General features: G+C 51.1%; 2 protein-coding genes across 3 annotated transcripts in view, besides 1 other annotated feature; one reads left to right on the top strand and one right to left on the bottom strand.

Moving 5' to 3' along the window:
- Positions 1-14,972, bottom strand: part of TSPEAR (thrombospondin type laminin G domain and EAR repeats) — a 213,680-nt gene that overhangs the window by 140,993 nt on the left and 57,715 nt on the right. The gene's annotated exons all lie outside the window — the stretch shown is intronic.
- On the top strand, positions 7,529-8,765 carry KRTAP10-11 (keratin associated protein 10-11). The gene has a single exon (NM_198692.3). The coding sequence runs from the start codon at positions 7,574-7,576 to the stop codon at positions 8,468-8,470; it is 897 nt and encodes a 298-aa protein (NP_941965.2). The 5' UTR covers positions 7,529-7,573; the 3' UTR covers positions 8,471-8,765.
- Positions 8,204-9,068: an enhancer, noted in NCBI's record as "H3K27ac-H3K4me1 hESC enhancer chr21:46067006-46067870 (GRCh37/hg19 assembly coordinates)". NCBI's record gives its function as "activates a minimal SCP1, AML or CMV promoter by ChIP-STARR-seq in primed H9 embryonic stem cells {active_cell/tissue: H9 hESC(primed)}" and the evidence as "EXISTENCE:reporter gene assay evidence [ECO:0000049][PMID:30033119]".

The following is a 14,972-nucleotide window of genomic DNA, read 5'->3' on the forward strand; positions in this document are numbered from 1 at the left end:
CCCTCCTGTTACCCCTGGGGAGACCAGCTATGGACCACAGTGCTCATCCCTGCAGCCCTCATCTCCTCCACAGTAAGACATTGGGACCACGCCCTCCCCCAGGACTCGAGCCCAGCAGCCCAGTATTCATGGGGTTCTGGAATACCCATTGCTCAGGCATCGCTGGCGAGAGCACAGATGGGCAGGGACCATGGCACCCACTAACCAAGCCTGCGGGCCCCCCTGCCCCATGCGGCCTCACCTAGACATTCAGGGTCCTGGCTCCCTTTTGGTCCCGTGGTCCTGGACTCTGACCCCGAGGACCCTGTCCCCGCACCCCCAGCCTCCCAGGTCTCTCCCAAATAGCCCTCAGCTCTGCCTGCCACCCTCCGTCCCAGATGCCACGTCGGGGAAGTGGCACAAGCTGCTGCACTCTTTCCGCCAGGTCGCTGTGCGCATTTGAGAGCGCACGTCCGGCTCCAGCAAATGACCCTTGCGTGTCAATGACAGAGGCCGCCAGCCCCAGCACCAGGACCTCCCGGAGTCCCACCCCACAGAGCTCCCTGTGGTCAGCACAGCCGCCTCGCTCACTCCCCTCGAGGCAGATCACCCAGGACAACCAGCAGCAGCCGTCCCCAGGGCTGGTGGCCAAACTGACACAGCCTTGTCCACCTCCTTGGAAGCAAAGCCAAGTCCCCATGAAAGGACAAATGGGGGCCTCCAGGGACAGAGATGTTTGTCCAAAAACCTGCCCCGGTTTTTGGGGCAGCTGGCAGGGGCCGAGCCTTCATCCTAGGTCTCCGGGGCCATCCTCGGGAGGGGCTCCCCACACATGCATGTCTGAGCCCCACATCACTGTGCTCACTGATGGCCACAGGGTCAGAACAGAGAGCCAGGAGGAGGGCCCGGGGCTGGCTCTCTGACCTCCTCCACATTTGCCATTGTCCCCACCTTCCCTGTCCAAGGCACCGACAGGACCCAGCCTGTCTGGCCGTCCCCAGGGAGGATACCTCCTGGTGGGGGGTCTCAGCTCTGACTCCTACTCTGGGTCCTCATTCGATGTGTCTTCTGCCTCATCAGAGCTTCAACCCCCAGTGAAAGCACCTTGGAAAACAGTTCCTCAAAATGTCACTCACTGTGTGACCCTGTGACCCTGTCAGTCCAGTTCTAGGCATCTACCCCGGAGGAATGAAACAAACGTCCACACACAGATTTCTGTGCCCATGTACACAGCACCACTGACAGTAGCCAAGAAGTGGAAAGAGCCCAAATGTCCATCAGAGGATGAATGGACAAGCAAAACACAGCCTATCCACACAAGCAAAACACAGCCCATCCCCATGGGAATATTATTCAGCCATGAAAAGGGATCAAATACTGACACAGGCTACAACATGCATGAGCCTTGAAAGCATGATGCTCAGCGAGTGGCCACATGTGGTGGGATTCTATTTGTATGAAAGACTCAGAACAGGCAAATCCGCAGAGAAAGGAAGTAGATGAGTGTGTGACCAAGGCTGGTGGAGGGGCTCATGAGGAGTGACTGCTTATGGGTGTGGTTTTTGGAGTGGGAATGTTGTAAAATTACATATTGGTGATGGCTGAGAAACACTGGGAATATATTAAAAACCAGTGGATTGTGCACTTACAGTGGGTGAACTTCATGGCTTGTGAATTTTCTCTTGGTCAATGTGTTAAAAACAAATAGTCTCAGCCCTCCATTTGGGATGGCCACTGGCCAATGCCTCCACCTCCCCTTCATCCAGATAAAAATGAATGGCGCCAGAGCAGTGATAGAAAATGGAGGCATGCCATCCACAGACCAGGTCAGTAAGGATTTTCTGGGAAAGGCAAGACAAAAAGATCAGGTTCTATTGACTTTAAATCCAACAGAAAGAAAGGCAGAAGGACTCTGAAGACAAATGACTTTTCCCGGAGACCCTAGCAAAGGGACCATACATGAGGATGACTGTGGGCACTCAGTGGTCTTTAACTGATGGGTCGAGTTCTGAAGAAGAGCCATTCCATGCCTGCAACCAGCGGGAGAACCAGGAAGGGTGGGGTTGGCCCAGGAGACTCCCAGCCTAGGTCCCAATCTGGAGAGGAAGAGGCCACGCCCCAGGAAGCTCTGGATGCCAAGATGAACTGGAGCCCCCATGTCCAATCAGCGATGAACAAGGCCCCCCTCATCAGAGCCCCAGCATCAGCTCTGGATGCAGAATATGTGTATCTATGTGCAGAAAACCTTTCAGCAATGAATGCCAAACAATCTAGACCCTCACTTAAAAATGTGAATGACAACTAAGGGTCCTCAGACATGTGAGGAAATCACAGCATGACAGAGAAGCAAAGTCTGAACAAGCGATGATGCAGATGTGAGGAAACAAAGAGGCTGTCACTCCATGAAACAAGAACAGGGTGCTACCAAAAAGGAGGAGGAAGAGGAGGAAGGAAAACACCCCAAGTTCCAGGAGACTGAAAGCATGACACTCTCAACACAGATGAAACTCAATGATGGTCTGCATAATAGACCCTGAAAGCAGAATTGCTGATACAGTGACCCCAGTTCAGGCAAGGATTGACCCAAACCCAATGCAGAAGGACAGAGATAAAGCCAAGAAGAGCCTGAGATCTGAGTGGGAAGAGCCCAGGAGACCCAGGGTCTGTGATCCTAACCGGGATCGCAGTGGGGAGAAAATCCAAGAATGGAAGAAAATCATCAGACCCATATGAGAATAAAAGTTTTTTGAACTAAAGGAAGATGGGATCGAGGGGATGAACACAGCTGATGACAGTGACGAGGGAGGGGTCTGGTGAAATGAATGAAGTAAAAGAAAGAGACAATAGTGCCAGGTTCTAGACAGAGGAAAGACTTCACAAGAAGATCAAAGTTATGCAAATATGAGATGCATTGGTGGCCCAGCCTCTACCAAGGTGGAGGGAAGAAATTCCGCACCTAGACTCTGCTGTGGCAGGCTTCAGCGGGAAGGCTGTTCTTAAACAACAGGGATCCGGAAAATTTACCACCCACAATGCTTTCTGAAATTTTTACTCAGCAATTTCCAACAAGAAGAAACACGACCCCCTCTTTTCAAACGTCCACAAAAATCCACAGACACCCATCAAGGAAAATCTAAAGAAAATAAAAATAAAGTCTAATAAAAATAAGCAGACATGAAAGATGGAAAAAGAAGTATGCTCACAGATTCAGAGATTTTCCTGTTTCAGTATAAGAAAATAGTATGGGTATATTTATCCTAAAATTTGGAAATATAAATTAAATGTACTGTGTCCTAAAAAATATAAATTACCTACCCTGAGTAACAAGACAAAAATTTTAATACAATGATATCCAGGAAAATATGGAAATGGTATTGAAAAAGCTCATTCTTCAGAAGGCAGACTCAGATGTTTCAAAGATGTATACCATCAGCCTTCAATACAAAGACTTTTCTGTGATACTTGAAATATTCCAGAGATCAGAAGAAGCCAGAGGTCCTCTGGATTCCTCTAGTAAGACTGGTGACATCCTGATGCCAAAACCAGGAATAACAGCGAGAGAGATAGGACTGTAGACCAACATCATTTAAAAAAATAATGTAAGAGATTGTATGAACCTACAATAACAGAAAACTAAGCCACTATGTATAGCCATTATGGGAAATAGTACGGAAGTTCCTCAAAAAATTAAAAATGGGGCCGGGCGCAGTGGCTCATGCCTGTAATCCCAGCACTTTGAGAGGCCGAGGCAGGCAGATCACGAGGTCAGGAGATCGAGACCATCCTGGCTAACACGGTGAAACCCCGTCTCTACTAAAAATACAAAAATTGGCCAGGTGTGGTGGCAGGCGCCTGTAGTCCCAGCTACCTGGGAGGCTGAGGCAGGAGAATGGCGTGAACCTGGGAGGCAGAGCTTGCAGTGAGCCGAGATTGTGCCACTGCACTCCAGCCTGGGCAACAGAGCGAGACTCTATCTCAAAAAAAAAAAATTAAAAACTTAAAAATTAAAAATGGAACTACCATGTGATGAGCAATCCCACTTCTGTGTATTTAAACAAGACAAATTAAAGCCAGAGCTCAGAGATACCTGCACTGCCATGCTAACTGCAGCACTATTCACAACAGCAAAGATACGGAAGCAACATAAGTGATCATCAACAGATGAGTGGATAAAGAAAATGCGGTGCATATGCATGATGGAATACGATTCAGCCATAGAAAGGAAGGAGATCCTGTCATCTGTGACAACATGGATGAACCTGCACACACTATGCTAGGTGAAGTGACCCAGGCACAGAAAGACAAATACTGCAGACCTCACTTATTTGTGGAATCTAAAAAAGCCAAGTTCACCAAAGCAGAGAGTAGAATGGGGATTCGAGGGCCAGGGGGTGCAGGGAGTGGGGACATGTTGATGACAGGATACAGCTTCAGCTGTGCAGGATGAGTCAGTTCTGGAAACCTCATGTGCAGCATGAGGACAGTTGACTGTAACACAGAACGCAACATAGTAACACCGAAATCTGCTAAGAGTCCATCTTAAATGTCTCATCACAAAATAAAGGTAACTACATGGGGTGATGGACATATTAATTAGCTTGACCGTGGTAATCATCACACAATGTGTACATGTATCAAGACGTCATGTTGTATACCTTGAATTTATATAATTCTTGTTTGTCAATTATATCTCAATAAAGCTGGGGAAAAAGGGATAATGAGCTATTATCAAGTAATGTATATCTTAGATCACTCAAGTTACAAAGGGTATCATTAACTATACTCATAAAATAGAAGCAGAAAAGCCACTGGAACTCTCAGTAGATTAATACACACACATTCACACACATACACACACACATACACAAACAAACTCACTCCTTCCTTAAAAGCCTGAGGCAAAATTCATGATAAACTAAAGTAGGAAAACACTGCATGCACGAGACCAAGGCTGTGCGACAAAGCAGCAAACATCGGCTTAGTGCGGAGTTGCGGGAAGCATTTCTGTTAACTTTGGAAACAAGACCAGAGGGCTGCTGTCATCGCGTCTCCAGCATTGTGCTGGGCAGCCAGCCACGACGAAAGGGAGTCAAATAAAACAAAAGACTACGTTTTGGAAAAGAAGAATCCAAATGTGTGTCACTTGCAGAAGACCTGGCCGTGGGCCACCCTGCCCTCCAGACTCACATCCCCTCCCGGCACCTCCCTCTCCCAGCCAGGGCCATTTAATCCCTGCCATTCAACTCACTCAGATCCCCAGAGTGTCTGCTTGATTTAAGAAATGGTTTGATCATTTGATTGTCCACAGAAGCTGCCCTGCTGGCCCCCAGTGGAAAGTTCCATGATCCAAAAAGTCATGTCTCCAGTGAGTCCAGGGCTCTACAGTTGCACCTCATGTTGTGGCTGACGTAAAAAGACTGTACGTGCACTGTGTGTGTCTGTAGTACATCCACTAATACGATGTCACCCTAGACTTCCTGGCTTTCCTATCATCTCCTGAAAGCATCACCAAGTCCTTCAGTCCCAGAAAGCGGATTAAGCACACAGATCTCACACACCTGTACTAATAATCACTGAAAGGATATTTAAAGAGTTATAAAAAATGAAATCAAAATTATCTAACAAAAACGGGAGGCTCAGCAGGGTCCTTCATATGTTTGTAGAAAAGAGAAGCAGACAGAAACAGGTTAGGGAGTAAATTGGAGCAGGACCCTAATGCACTGGAATAAAATAGTCTTTTATTCAGAAAACTGAATGAACTGCCACCAATGAGCAGACTATCTGATGTCCAAGGAAACAAGAAAAAAACATTTAAAAACTCAAAGTAACATCATCAGAGTGAATGGATAACATATTTCATTCATCACAAGATGAAATAAAAAGTCATAAAAAGAGAGACCAGGAAAGATGAAATTATTATTAAAAATGGAAAAACACTTCGGAGATAAGTCTTTATATTGAAAGGCTCAATAAGTTCTAACCACTGAAAGTAAAATAATGCATTAGCCTAGAAACAAAAGCGTGACACTTTAGAACAATAAAAAGAAACCCAAATGCTCCCAGAGAGTTAAGGAAAGAGAGAAACTAAAAAATGACAAATGACCAGTATCAGACTGTCATCGGCAACACTGGACATCACAAAAAAATGGTGACATGTGTTCATCATTTTGAGGAAAAGTAATTTAAAACCAGAATTTTATACCCAGCTAAACTATCATTATAAATGTGAGGATAAAGTTGACATATTTTCAGACAAGCAAGGAATCTTAAAATGTATGTCCTAAAATCACCATATATGAAAAAGTACTTGATCTTTCACCAAGGCAAAATGAAAATTGAAATAATCCAGAGTGCAGCTTCAAATAAAACAAAGAGCCTCTGAGGGTGGCATGGAAGAGCTGAAGAGACAAAAATAAAGCTTGGATCCACCAGCTACTGAATCTCTGAGCATTCTCCTTACAAGGTGTGAGGGATCGAAGGGAGGGCCACTTAGCTTTTTTTTTTTTTTTTGAGACAGAGTCTTGCTCTGTCACCTAGGCTGGGGTGCAATGGTGCAATCTCAGCTCACTGCAACCTCCACCTCCTGGGTTCAAGAATTCTCCTGCCTCAGCCTAAGTAGCTGGGACTACAGGCACATGCCACCATGCCTGGCTAATTTTTTGTATTTTTAGTAGAGACCGGGTTTCACCATGCTGGCCAGGCTGGTCTCAAACTCCTGACCTCGTGATCCACCCACCTCAGCCCCCCAAAGTACTGGGATTAGAGGCATGAGTCACCACGCTCAGCCAGCTTCCTCTTATCTTATCGTCTGTGCCGTTTTTATTTCATATGAAGTGTACATTTTTCTCCATGTTTATGTTTTAAGATGCTAAAAGTAATAAAATATATCTAATCAGTCCAGAAACAGGATAGGTGGAAACAGAATTGCTTCCTTTGGAGAAACGTTCATCTCTAAAACCTCAACTCAACAAAAGCTTGCTTGAAATATTTTCCGGCCGGACGCGGTGGCTCACGCCTGTAATCCCAGCACTTTGGGAGGCTGAGGCGGGTAGATCATGAGGTCAGGAGTTCAAGACCAGCCTGGCCAAGATGGTGAAACCCCGTCTCTACTAAAAATACAAAAATTACAGCGTGCCTGTAATCCCAGCTACTCGGGAGGCTGAGGTGGGAGAATCGCTTGAACCCAGGGGGCGGAGGTTGCAGTGAGCTGAGATCGCGCCACTGCACTCCAGCCTGGGTGACAGAGCAAGACTCCCTCTCAAAAAAAAAAAAAAAAAAAAAAAAAAAAAAGGAAATATTTTCCACCACATTTCTGTGGCCAAAATAAAAACTGATGAAGAAACAGAGCCCTGCGACATACATACCAGTTTAATAAGGGAAAAACAAAGAGATAAACCAGCATGAATGATGCATCTCCAGCCACCAGCTGTAAACACCAACAAGGAAGAAAAGCTTGTGGAGCCTCCTGTTGGGACAACACATGCCAGGGAGGGATTTAAAAGCCCCACAGCCCTGAGCACCTCACTCACTCACTCACACACACACTCACACACTCACTTACACCTCCCCCAGCTCACCTCCTCCCCACCCCAGCATGGCCGCGTCCACCATGTCTGTCTGCTCCAGCGCTTACTCCGACTCCTGGCAGGTGGACGACTGCCCAGAGAGCTGCTGTGAGCCCCCCTGCAGCGCCCCCAGCTGCTGCGCCCCGGCCCCCTCCCTGAGCCTGGTCTGCACCCCAGTGAGCTGTGTGTCCAGCCCCTGCTGCCAGGCGGCCTGTGAGCCCAGCGCCTGCCAATCAGGCTGCACCAGCTCCTGCACGCCGTCATGCTGCCAGCAGTCTAGCTGCCAGCCGGCTTGCTGCACCTCCTCCCCCTGCCAGCAGGCCTGCTGTGTGCCTGTCTGCTGCAAGACTGTCTGCTGCAAGCCTGTGTGCTGTGTGCCTGTCTGCTGTGGGGCTGCTTCTTCGTGCTGCCGGCAGTCTAGCTGCCAGCCAGCTTGCTGTGCCTCTTCCTCCTGCCAGCCGGCCTGCTGTGTGCCCGTCTGCTGCAAGCCTGTGTGCTGTGTGTCCACCTGCTCTGAGGATTCCTCTTCATGCTGCCAGCAGTCTAGCTGCCAGCCAGCTTGCTGCACCTCCTCCTCCTACCAGCAGGCCTGCTGCGTGCCTGTCTGCTGCAAGACTGTCTACTGCAAGCCCATCTGCTGTGTGCCTGTCTGCTCTAGGGCTTCCTCTTCACGCTGCCAGCAGCCTAGCTGCCAGCCAGCTTGCTGCACCACCTCCTGCTGCAGACCCTCCTCCTCTGTGTCCCTCCTCTGCCACCCCGTGTGCAGGTCCACCTGCTGTGTGCCCGTCTCCTCCTGCTGTGCCCCCACCTCCTCCTGCCAGTCCAGCTGCTGCCGCCCGGCCTCCTGCGTGTCCCTCCTCTGCCGCCCCGCAAGCTCCCGCCTGGCCTGCTACAGCCTCTGCTCAGGCAAGAAGTCCAGCTGCTGAGTGCTCAATCCTTGTCTCCTGCTGACTGTGTCTTTGCTGCCAAGCAGGATTCTCCAGTCTCAGGAGCCCCTGGAGTCCTCAGAATCCACCAGCTCCATCAGTAGCCACAGAGCTGCTGCCTGAAGGGGATTTTGAGCGCGTCACACTTTCCTCCCCACTGTCTGGGAAGAGACAACCCACAAATCCCTCAGCAGGTGGACTGTGGCTTTCTGGAGCCCCCTTCTCCAAATGTGTTGCTTATACCCAATGTGACAAAGAAGAACTGCTCTAATCAATAAATTCTTGAGTCAGGAAATACGGGCTGGTGTGCACTTTCTGCTCTTCCCCTGAGCCCCTCTGCCTACTCCAAATTTGGGGTGTGGGACCCACTGTCTTGTTAAAGGCAGACAGGACAGTGTCTCTCATTCCGAGATCAAACACTTGGAAGACAGCAGGCTTTGAAAGCAAATGTGATCAGCTCCACACTCTTCCTGCAGCCAAAGCCCTGCCCACAGGGGATGAGCCTCCAAGCTGAGCCAGGGAGGGGAGCAGAGCTGAGTGGGCTCGGCCTCTGGTGAGCTTTGGGCCACCCGCCCATGCCTGTCCCCTGCCAGTCCAAGCTAAAGCTGAGTCGGGAAGAAGCAGAAATCCCGTTCAGTTGGGACCTGAGAGCCCCAGGCACCGTGCTGGCCTCGTGGTGTGTGGGCCGTGGAAAAGGTGCCCACACAGAGGGCTGCCCCGAGAGTTTGAGGGCCACTCTGTGTGCTCTGAAGCACTAGCAATTTCATGGGCCCCAAGAGGGGTCCTGGAGTTACTCAGACGTCACTCATCCTACTCAGGGTTTAAGGCCTGGGTGAGGAGACACAGAGCAAAAAGACACCTTATCGATGAACCCTTAGGACAGTGGGAGAGGATGAGGCTGTAGTCTCAGTGGACCACTAGCACTGGAGAGTGAAGAGGGCACTAGTGAGACCAGTCAGGTCAGCACCTCCTCAGGAGGCTGGGAGGGCCCAGGGAAGAAGCAACAGAACAAAAACCCCAAGAGGACCTTGAACCAGAAAGTAGCTGAATTTAAACCCACGTGGACTCATAAATCTCTCAGTCTTCCAGAGTTTATTCAACCCGTGTCCGTTACTTGCTTATTCAAATATTAAGAAAAATACGGCCATCCCCATAAATAAGTGGACAAAGGCCTTCATGGACCTTTCATAGCACAAACAGTTAAAAAAAGAGGGGGAGATGTTTCCACCTCACCACTAACCAAAGGAACAGGGGAGCCTAAGGCACAGGGGAGTCGGCACAGGGCGCACCAACATTGCTGAGGCCAAGCCGCTGTGCAGCCAGCGGGCAGACGCACCCAGGGCCGCAGCCTCCAGGGCACCAGAGACTTTCAGCCTCCCGATGGCTCCCGAGGGGAAAGGCAGGGACAGCCATGGCCGAGCACAGCTTGTGACACCCGGGCCCCTGTGCTCTCTGTGGCAGCTGACATGCAGGTCTGCTGGTGGCCGTGTGTCCATGCAACTGTCCAAGCCCACGCGGTCAAGCTGCCGTGCCAGACGCAGAGGAGAAACTAGGGCTGCAGTGGCGGGGTCCCCTCCCTTGTGAACGTGCGTGAAGGTGCTCACAGCACAGCGACAGCTCCGAGTGCTCTGCCCCTCCCAGGTCCCGGGGTGCCCCTCCTGTCTGTGAGGGAGATGCGGGACCCACTGAGTCAGGGGCAGCTGCTGCCTGCAAAGGCATCCCGTGAAACCACAGGAAACCGCAAAGCTCCCTCCACCGCCTGCTGGACAGAGCCGGACGGCTCCTGGGGACCGGGGGAGGGTGTCTGTAAGGCGAGGACATGGTTGGTGCATGCTCGTCAGGGTGTGATCAGAGACCCTCCAGCCTGCAGACACCCTCGCCCAGTTGTAAGGGTGAGAGCACAGCCCCAGGCGAGGCTGCTGGCCTGGGAGGAGGGATGAGCAGCGGTCTGTGGAGGAGGCCTTCTAAGGAGTCCCCCTGCACCTCACATGCTCATCAATACAGGGCATCCTGGTAACGGAAGTTTCTAGATATGGGCCTCTCAGCAGGAGGGGTACACTGGCTGGTGCTCCTCTTAGCTGATTTCTTGGTTCCCAAACGGCTCCCCCGCTACCCACGTGTGCCAACAGCCCCCTTCTACTGAGGACAGCACCCCCTCCAGGCAAATCCCACTCATACCCAGGACGTGCCCACACCCCTTCTCCCGTGTGGCCCACACGCATGCCACAGGGACCAAGCTGGCTCTGTCGGGGCAGCCCTCGGTTTTGGGGGCCAAGCTTCCCATTCTTGGAATTAGTGCAGGCATCCCCCATACAGGCCTCCCTCCTTCTGCAATAGCTTCAATGCCTGGATGGGAGCCAGGCCACCCTCAGGCCCAGCTTCGGGCCTTCCTGTGTGTGCAGTGGGCTTGGGCTGTGTCCTGAAGAGGCCCAGCCACGCGGATTCTCAGTGGACTCTTCCTTCCCAAGGAACCACGATGAAAGACGCCACAGCCCACTGACGCACAGAGGAACCCAGGCTGCTCTCATGGCTTTGCACCGACCTCTTTCCTGGGCTGAACAGTGTCCCCTTAAAAAAAGACATGTTGGTCCAGACGTGGCGCATGCCTGTAATCTCAGCACCGTGGGAGGCCGAGGAGGGAGGACCACTCGAGCCCAGGAGTTCGAGAGCAGCCCAGGCAACACAGTGAGACCCCATCTCCACAGAAAATACAATACAATTTAGCTGAACATGGTGGTGTGCACCTCTAGTCCCAGCTACTTTGGTGGGAAGACGGCTTGAGCCTGGGAGGTCAAGGCTGCAGTGAGCCGTGATCGCGCCACTGCACTCCAGCCTGGGTGACCAGGCAAGACCCTCTCCAAAAAAAAAAAAGAAAGAAAAGGTATATGTTGGATGCTGATCCCTCATACTGTAAACATGACCTTACGTGGAAACAGGACCTTTGCAGATGTAGTCAAGTTGAAGTGAAGTCATTAGTGGGGGACCCTGAGCCAACACCACTTCTGTTTTTATAAAAAGGCAAAATTTGCACACGAACGGGCACCTGGAGAACGCCATGTGACGACGGCGGCAGAGACTGGGGCCACGTGACGACGGGGGCAGAGATTGGGGCCACGTGATGACGGAGGCAGAGATTGGGCAATGCCCCTGCAGGCCAAGGACACCAAAGAAGGCAACAGGCCCAGAAAACAGGACAGAGTCATCCCCCAGATGGGGACAGACTCTCCTTCACCACCATGGAAGGAACCAGCCCCACTGACGCCTTCACCTCGGACTGCAGTCCTCCAGAACCGTGAGATGTGAGCTTCTGCCATGTCACATAGCTGGCGTGGGACTCTGTCACAGCAGCCCCCGGATGTCAACACGCCCTCCAGCTCCAGCCCCCAGTGAGGGTGGAGAGTCCAGGGAAATGGGGCTGGGGGCTGGGAAAGGAGTTCTGAGGGAAGTGCCTGGGGCCTGTGACCTCCTACAGGCCAAGGGACAGGCCACAGAGATCCCCAGAGGTGGACGGAGTCCTCTGAAGAGGGGACAACCATGGCTTGGCTCTGACACACCCAAGAAGTCTGAGGCCGGAATCTGCAGATGCTCTGGGGGAGGACAGGGTGACACTCCCTGATGGTCCCCCAGGTCCAGGTGGCGCCCCACCAGGGAGGGGGCACCAGGGGTGGACTCAGGCTCTGCAGTAGAACCTGGGGAGAGGACAGGTCTTGGCAGAAGGAAGCTGTTGGCACCAGCTAGAGTAGAGCCTCTTCCAGGCTGGGGGAGCCACAGGGAAAAAGCTCCCACAATGGACAGGCCACGAGCGGGAGAGTGAGGCCGAAGCCCTGGCAAGCAGAGAGAGTGACAGCCCAGTCACCACAGGTCTCCAGAGAGGAGACTTGTCTCTCCTCCCCTTTTCTTCTCCTTGCCTCCCCCACACAGCCCCAGACAGCTCACGGCTGTGGCTGGCAAGACCACGCAGTGTGTAGAAACACCAGGCTGTGAGACAGAGAAGTTGGATGTGTGTCCTGTGGCCACAAACTTAGTAGCTTCGAACAACACGAATGGATCATCTCATAGCAGTGGAGGTCCGAAGTCTGCTGTGGGTCTCACAGGGCTAAAATCAAGGCATGGGCAGGGCGGGTTCCTTCGGGAGGCTGCAGGAGAGAATCTTTCCTCATCTCTTTCAGCTTCTGGAAATGGCTCGAGCCCTTGGTTCAGGGCTAGCAGCAGGCATCTCACTCACACCTGCCATGACCTTCTCCTCTGGCCAAATGTCCTCCTCCCTCCTTCTGATAAGGACCCTGTGGAGACACTGGGCCCACCTGGATAATCCAGGGTACTCTCCCATTAGCCACACCTTATGGTCCACACATATTAAGTTCCCTTAATTAGCCACACGTGTGAAGTCCCTGCTGCCACAAAAGGTGACACTCATAGGTTCTGAGAACCAGGATGTGGACATCATTGGCGACCATACTCAGCTGGCCACAGAAGTTCACCTCTATGGACTAAGGGGAAAAAAATCAAGCTTTTAAAAAATGAAAGTTAGTTTGCTTCAGAAGTCTTACTGAGGACTATAGACCGAGGCCTATATAGCCCAGGAGCAGTTTAGGCCTCAGTAAGACTTCTGAATAAAACTTTCTTTTTTTTTTTTTTTTTTTTTTGAAACGGAGTCTCACTGTGTCGCCCAGGCTGGAGTGCAGTGGCGCGATCTCGGCTCACTGCAAGGTCCGCCTCCCGCGTTCACACAATTCTCCTGCCTCAGCCTCCCGAATAGCTGGGAGTACAGGTGCCTGCCACCTCTCCCGGCTAATTTTTTGTATTTTTAGTAGAGACGGGGTTTCACTGTGTTAGCCAGGATGGTCTCGATCTCCTGACCTCGTGATCCGCCCGCCTCGGCCTCCCAGAGTGCTGGGATGACAGGCGTGAGCCACCGCACCGGGCCCCATTCTCTAAAAGTTTAATTTTTTTCCTTAGATGAAAATCACAGTGACCCAGATAGGACTCAGAGTGGACTGCTCAGGGACGTCTGGAACACTGCGGGGACCCAGCACCCCGGTACCAGCACAGGCCACTTGAGCCCCCACGGCTCCTCCATGGTTACAGGTGACTGAGTGACTCTCTCCTGAGTCTCTGACCTCCCACTTGGTTGAGAGTCCTGAGTTGTATTCAGTTAGTTCATTTTACTTCTTGCTGAAGGGGTACATTCTTCTGTGAGACTTTTTATGTCTTACGAAGGGGGAATTCTCCTCGTTGAAAGATACTAGGTAGGAATGGCTTCATGTGTAACCCATACAGAGTCTATACTTGCAAGTATCTTTCTAGAAGTAAGGGGTTAGCTAAAGGAGATTGAACACTGAAATGGCCAAAACTGGGATTCTCAAACATTAAGGCGTGCCAGGTTTTCTGGGACTCCAGTTGACTACATATCATGGCCCATTCTTGTACACATTTTTAAATAGTTAAATTATATCAAGGAAAAGTCAGAACTCAGAATCATCAACCTGCAAATATAGGGTTAAAATGTAGAGTCTTCTGGCGGGGTGTGGTGGCTCACACCTGTAATCCCAGCACTTTGGGAGGCCGAGGCGGGTGGATCACAAGGTCAGGAGATCAAAACCATCCTGGCTAACACGGTGAAACCCCGTCTCTACTAAAAATACAAAAAAAATTAACCAAGCGTGGCGGCGGGCACCTGTAGTCCCAGATACTCGGGAGGCTGAGGCAGAAGAATGGCGTGAACTTGGGAGGTGGAGCTTGCAGTGAGCTGAGATCACGCCGCTGCACTCCAGCCTGGTGACAGAGCGAGACTCCATCTCAAAAAAAAAGAAAGATAAATGATGCTAGTCCTTGCCTTTTCCTGAACAAGATAACGTCTTATAGGGCGAGTGATGATGCCTCTGCGGTCCATAACCAGATGTGCTCCTGCCCCCAAACCCGGATGTGATTCTGCTTTGATGCAGCTTCTGAGCCAGTTTCATGTGATCTGCACGTGCTGACCTCCCGCCACCTGCATATGAACTGTGAGCTGAAACCCGGGGCGGAGCCTCTGACAGGGCTGCCCCCGGGCTGGTGTGAGCTGAAACACGGAGCCGGAATCTCTGACAGAGCTGCCCCCGGCTAGAAACCTCACTCTTCTATAGTCCTCGGTAAAACTTCTGAGTAAAGCTCACTTTAATTCCTTAAAAGCTTTTTTTATCAACACCACAAACCTCTTTCCCATCCAGTTGGATGAAGGAGTAGCTATAGATTTAAATTTAGTTTAAGGTTTTAATTTCTTGACAAGAGTGGGTTGCACATACCAGCTAATAAGCAGATGGCCCGTTTTACCTAAAATGGATCAAACTACAAAATTAGTGATTTGTCCTCAATCTCACCCAGAAGAGAGTAAGAACTGACCTCATACATTTAAGGAACAAAGTGGGACGAAGGAAGCCTGATGTGACTGGGGTTGGGGGTTCCCATCAGGCCAAGCTCAGGAGCACGGCCCACTAGCCCGAGAGGGTGCTGTTGAGAGGCC

This window comes from Homo sapiens, chromosome 21 (genome assembly GCF_000001405.40).
Source record: "Homo sapiens chromosome 21, GRCh38.p14 Primary Assembly".
NCBI lineage: Eukaryota > Metazoa > Chordata > Mammalia > Primates > Hominidae > Homo > Homo sapiens.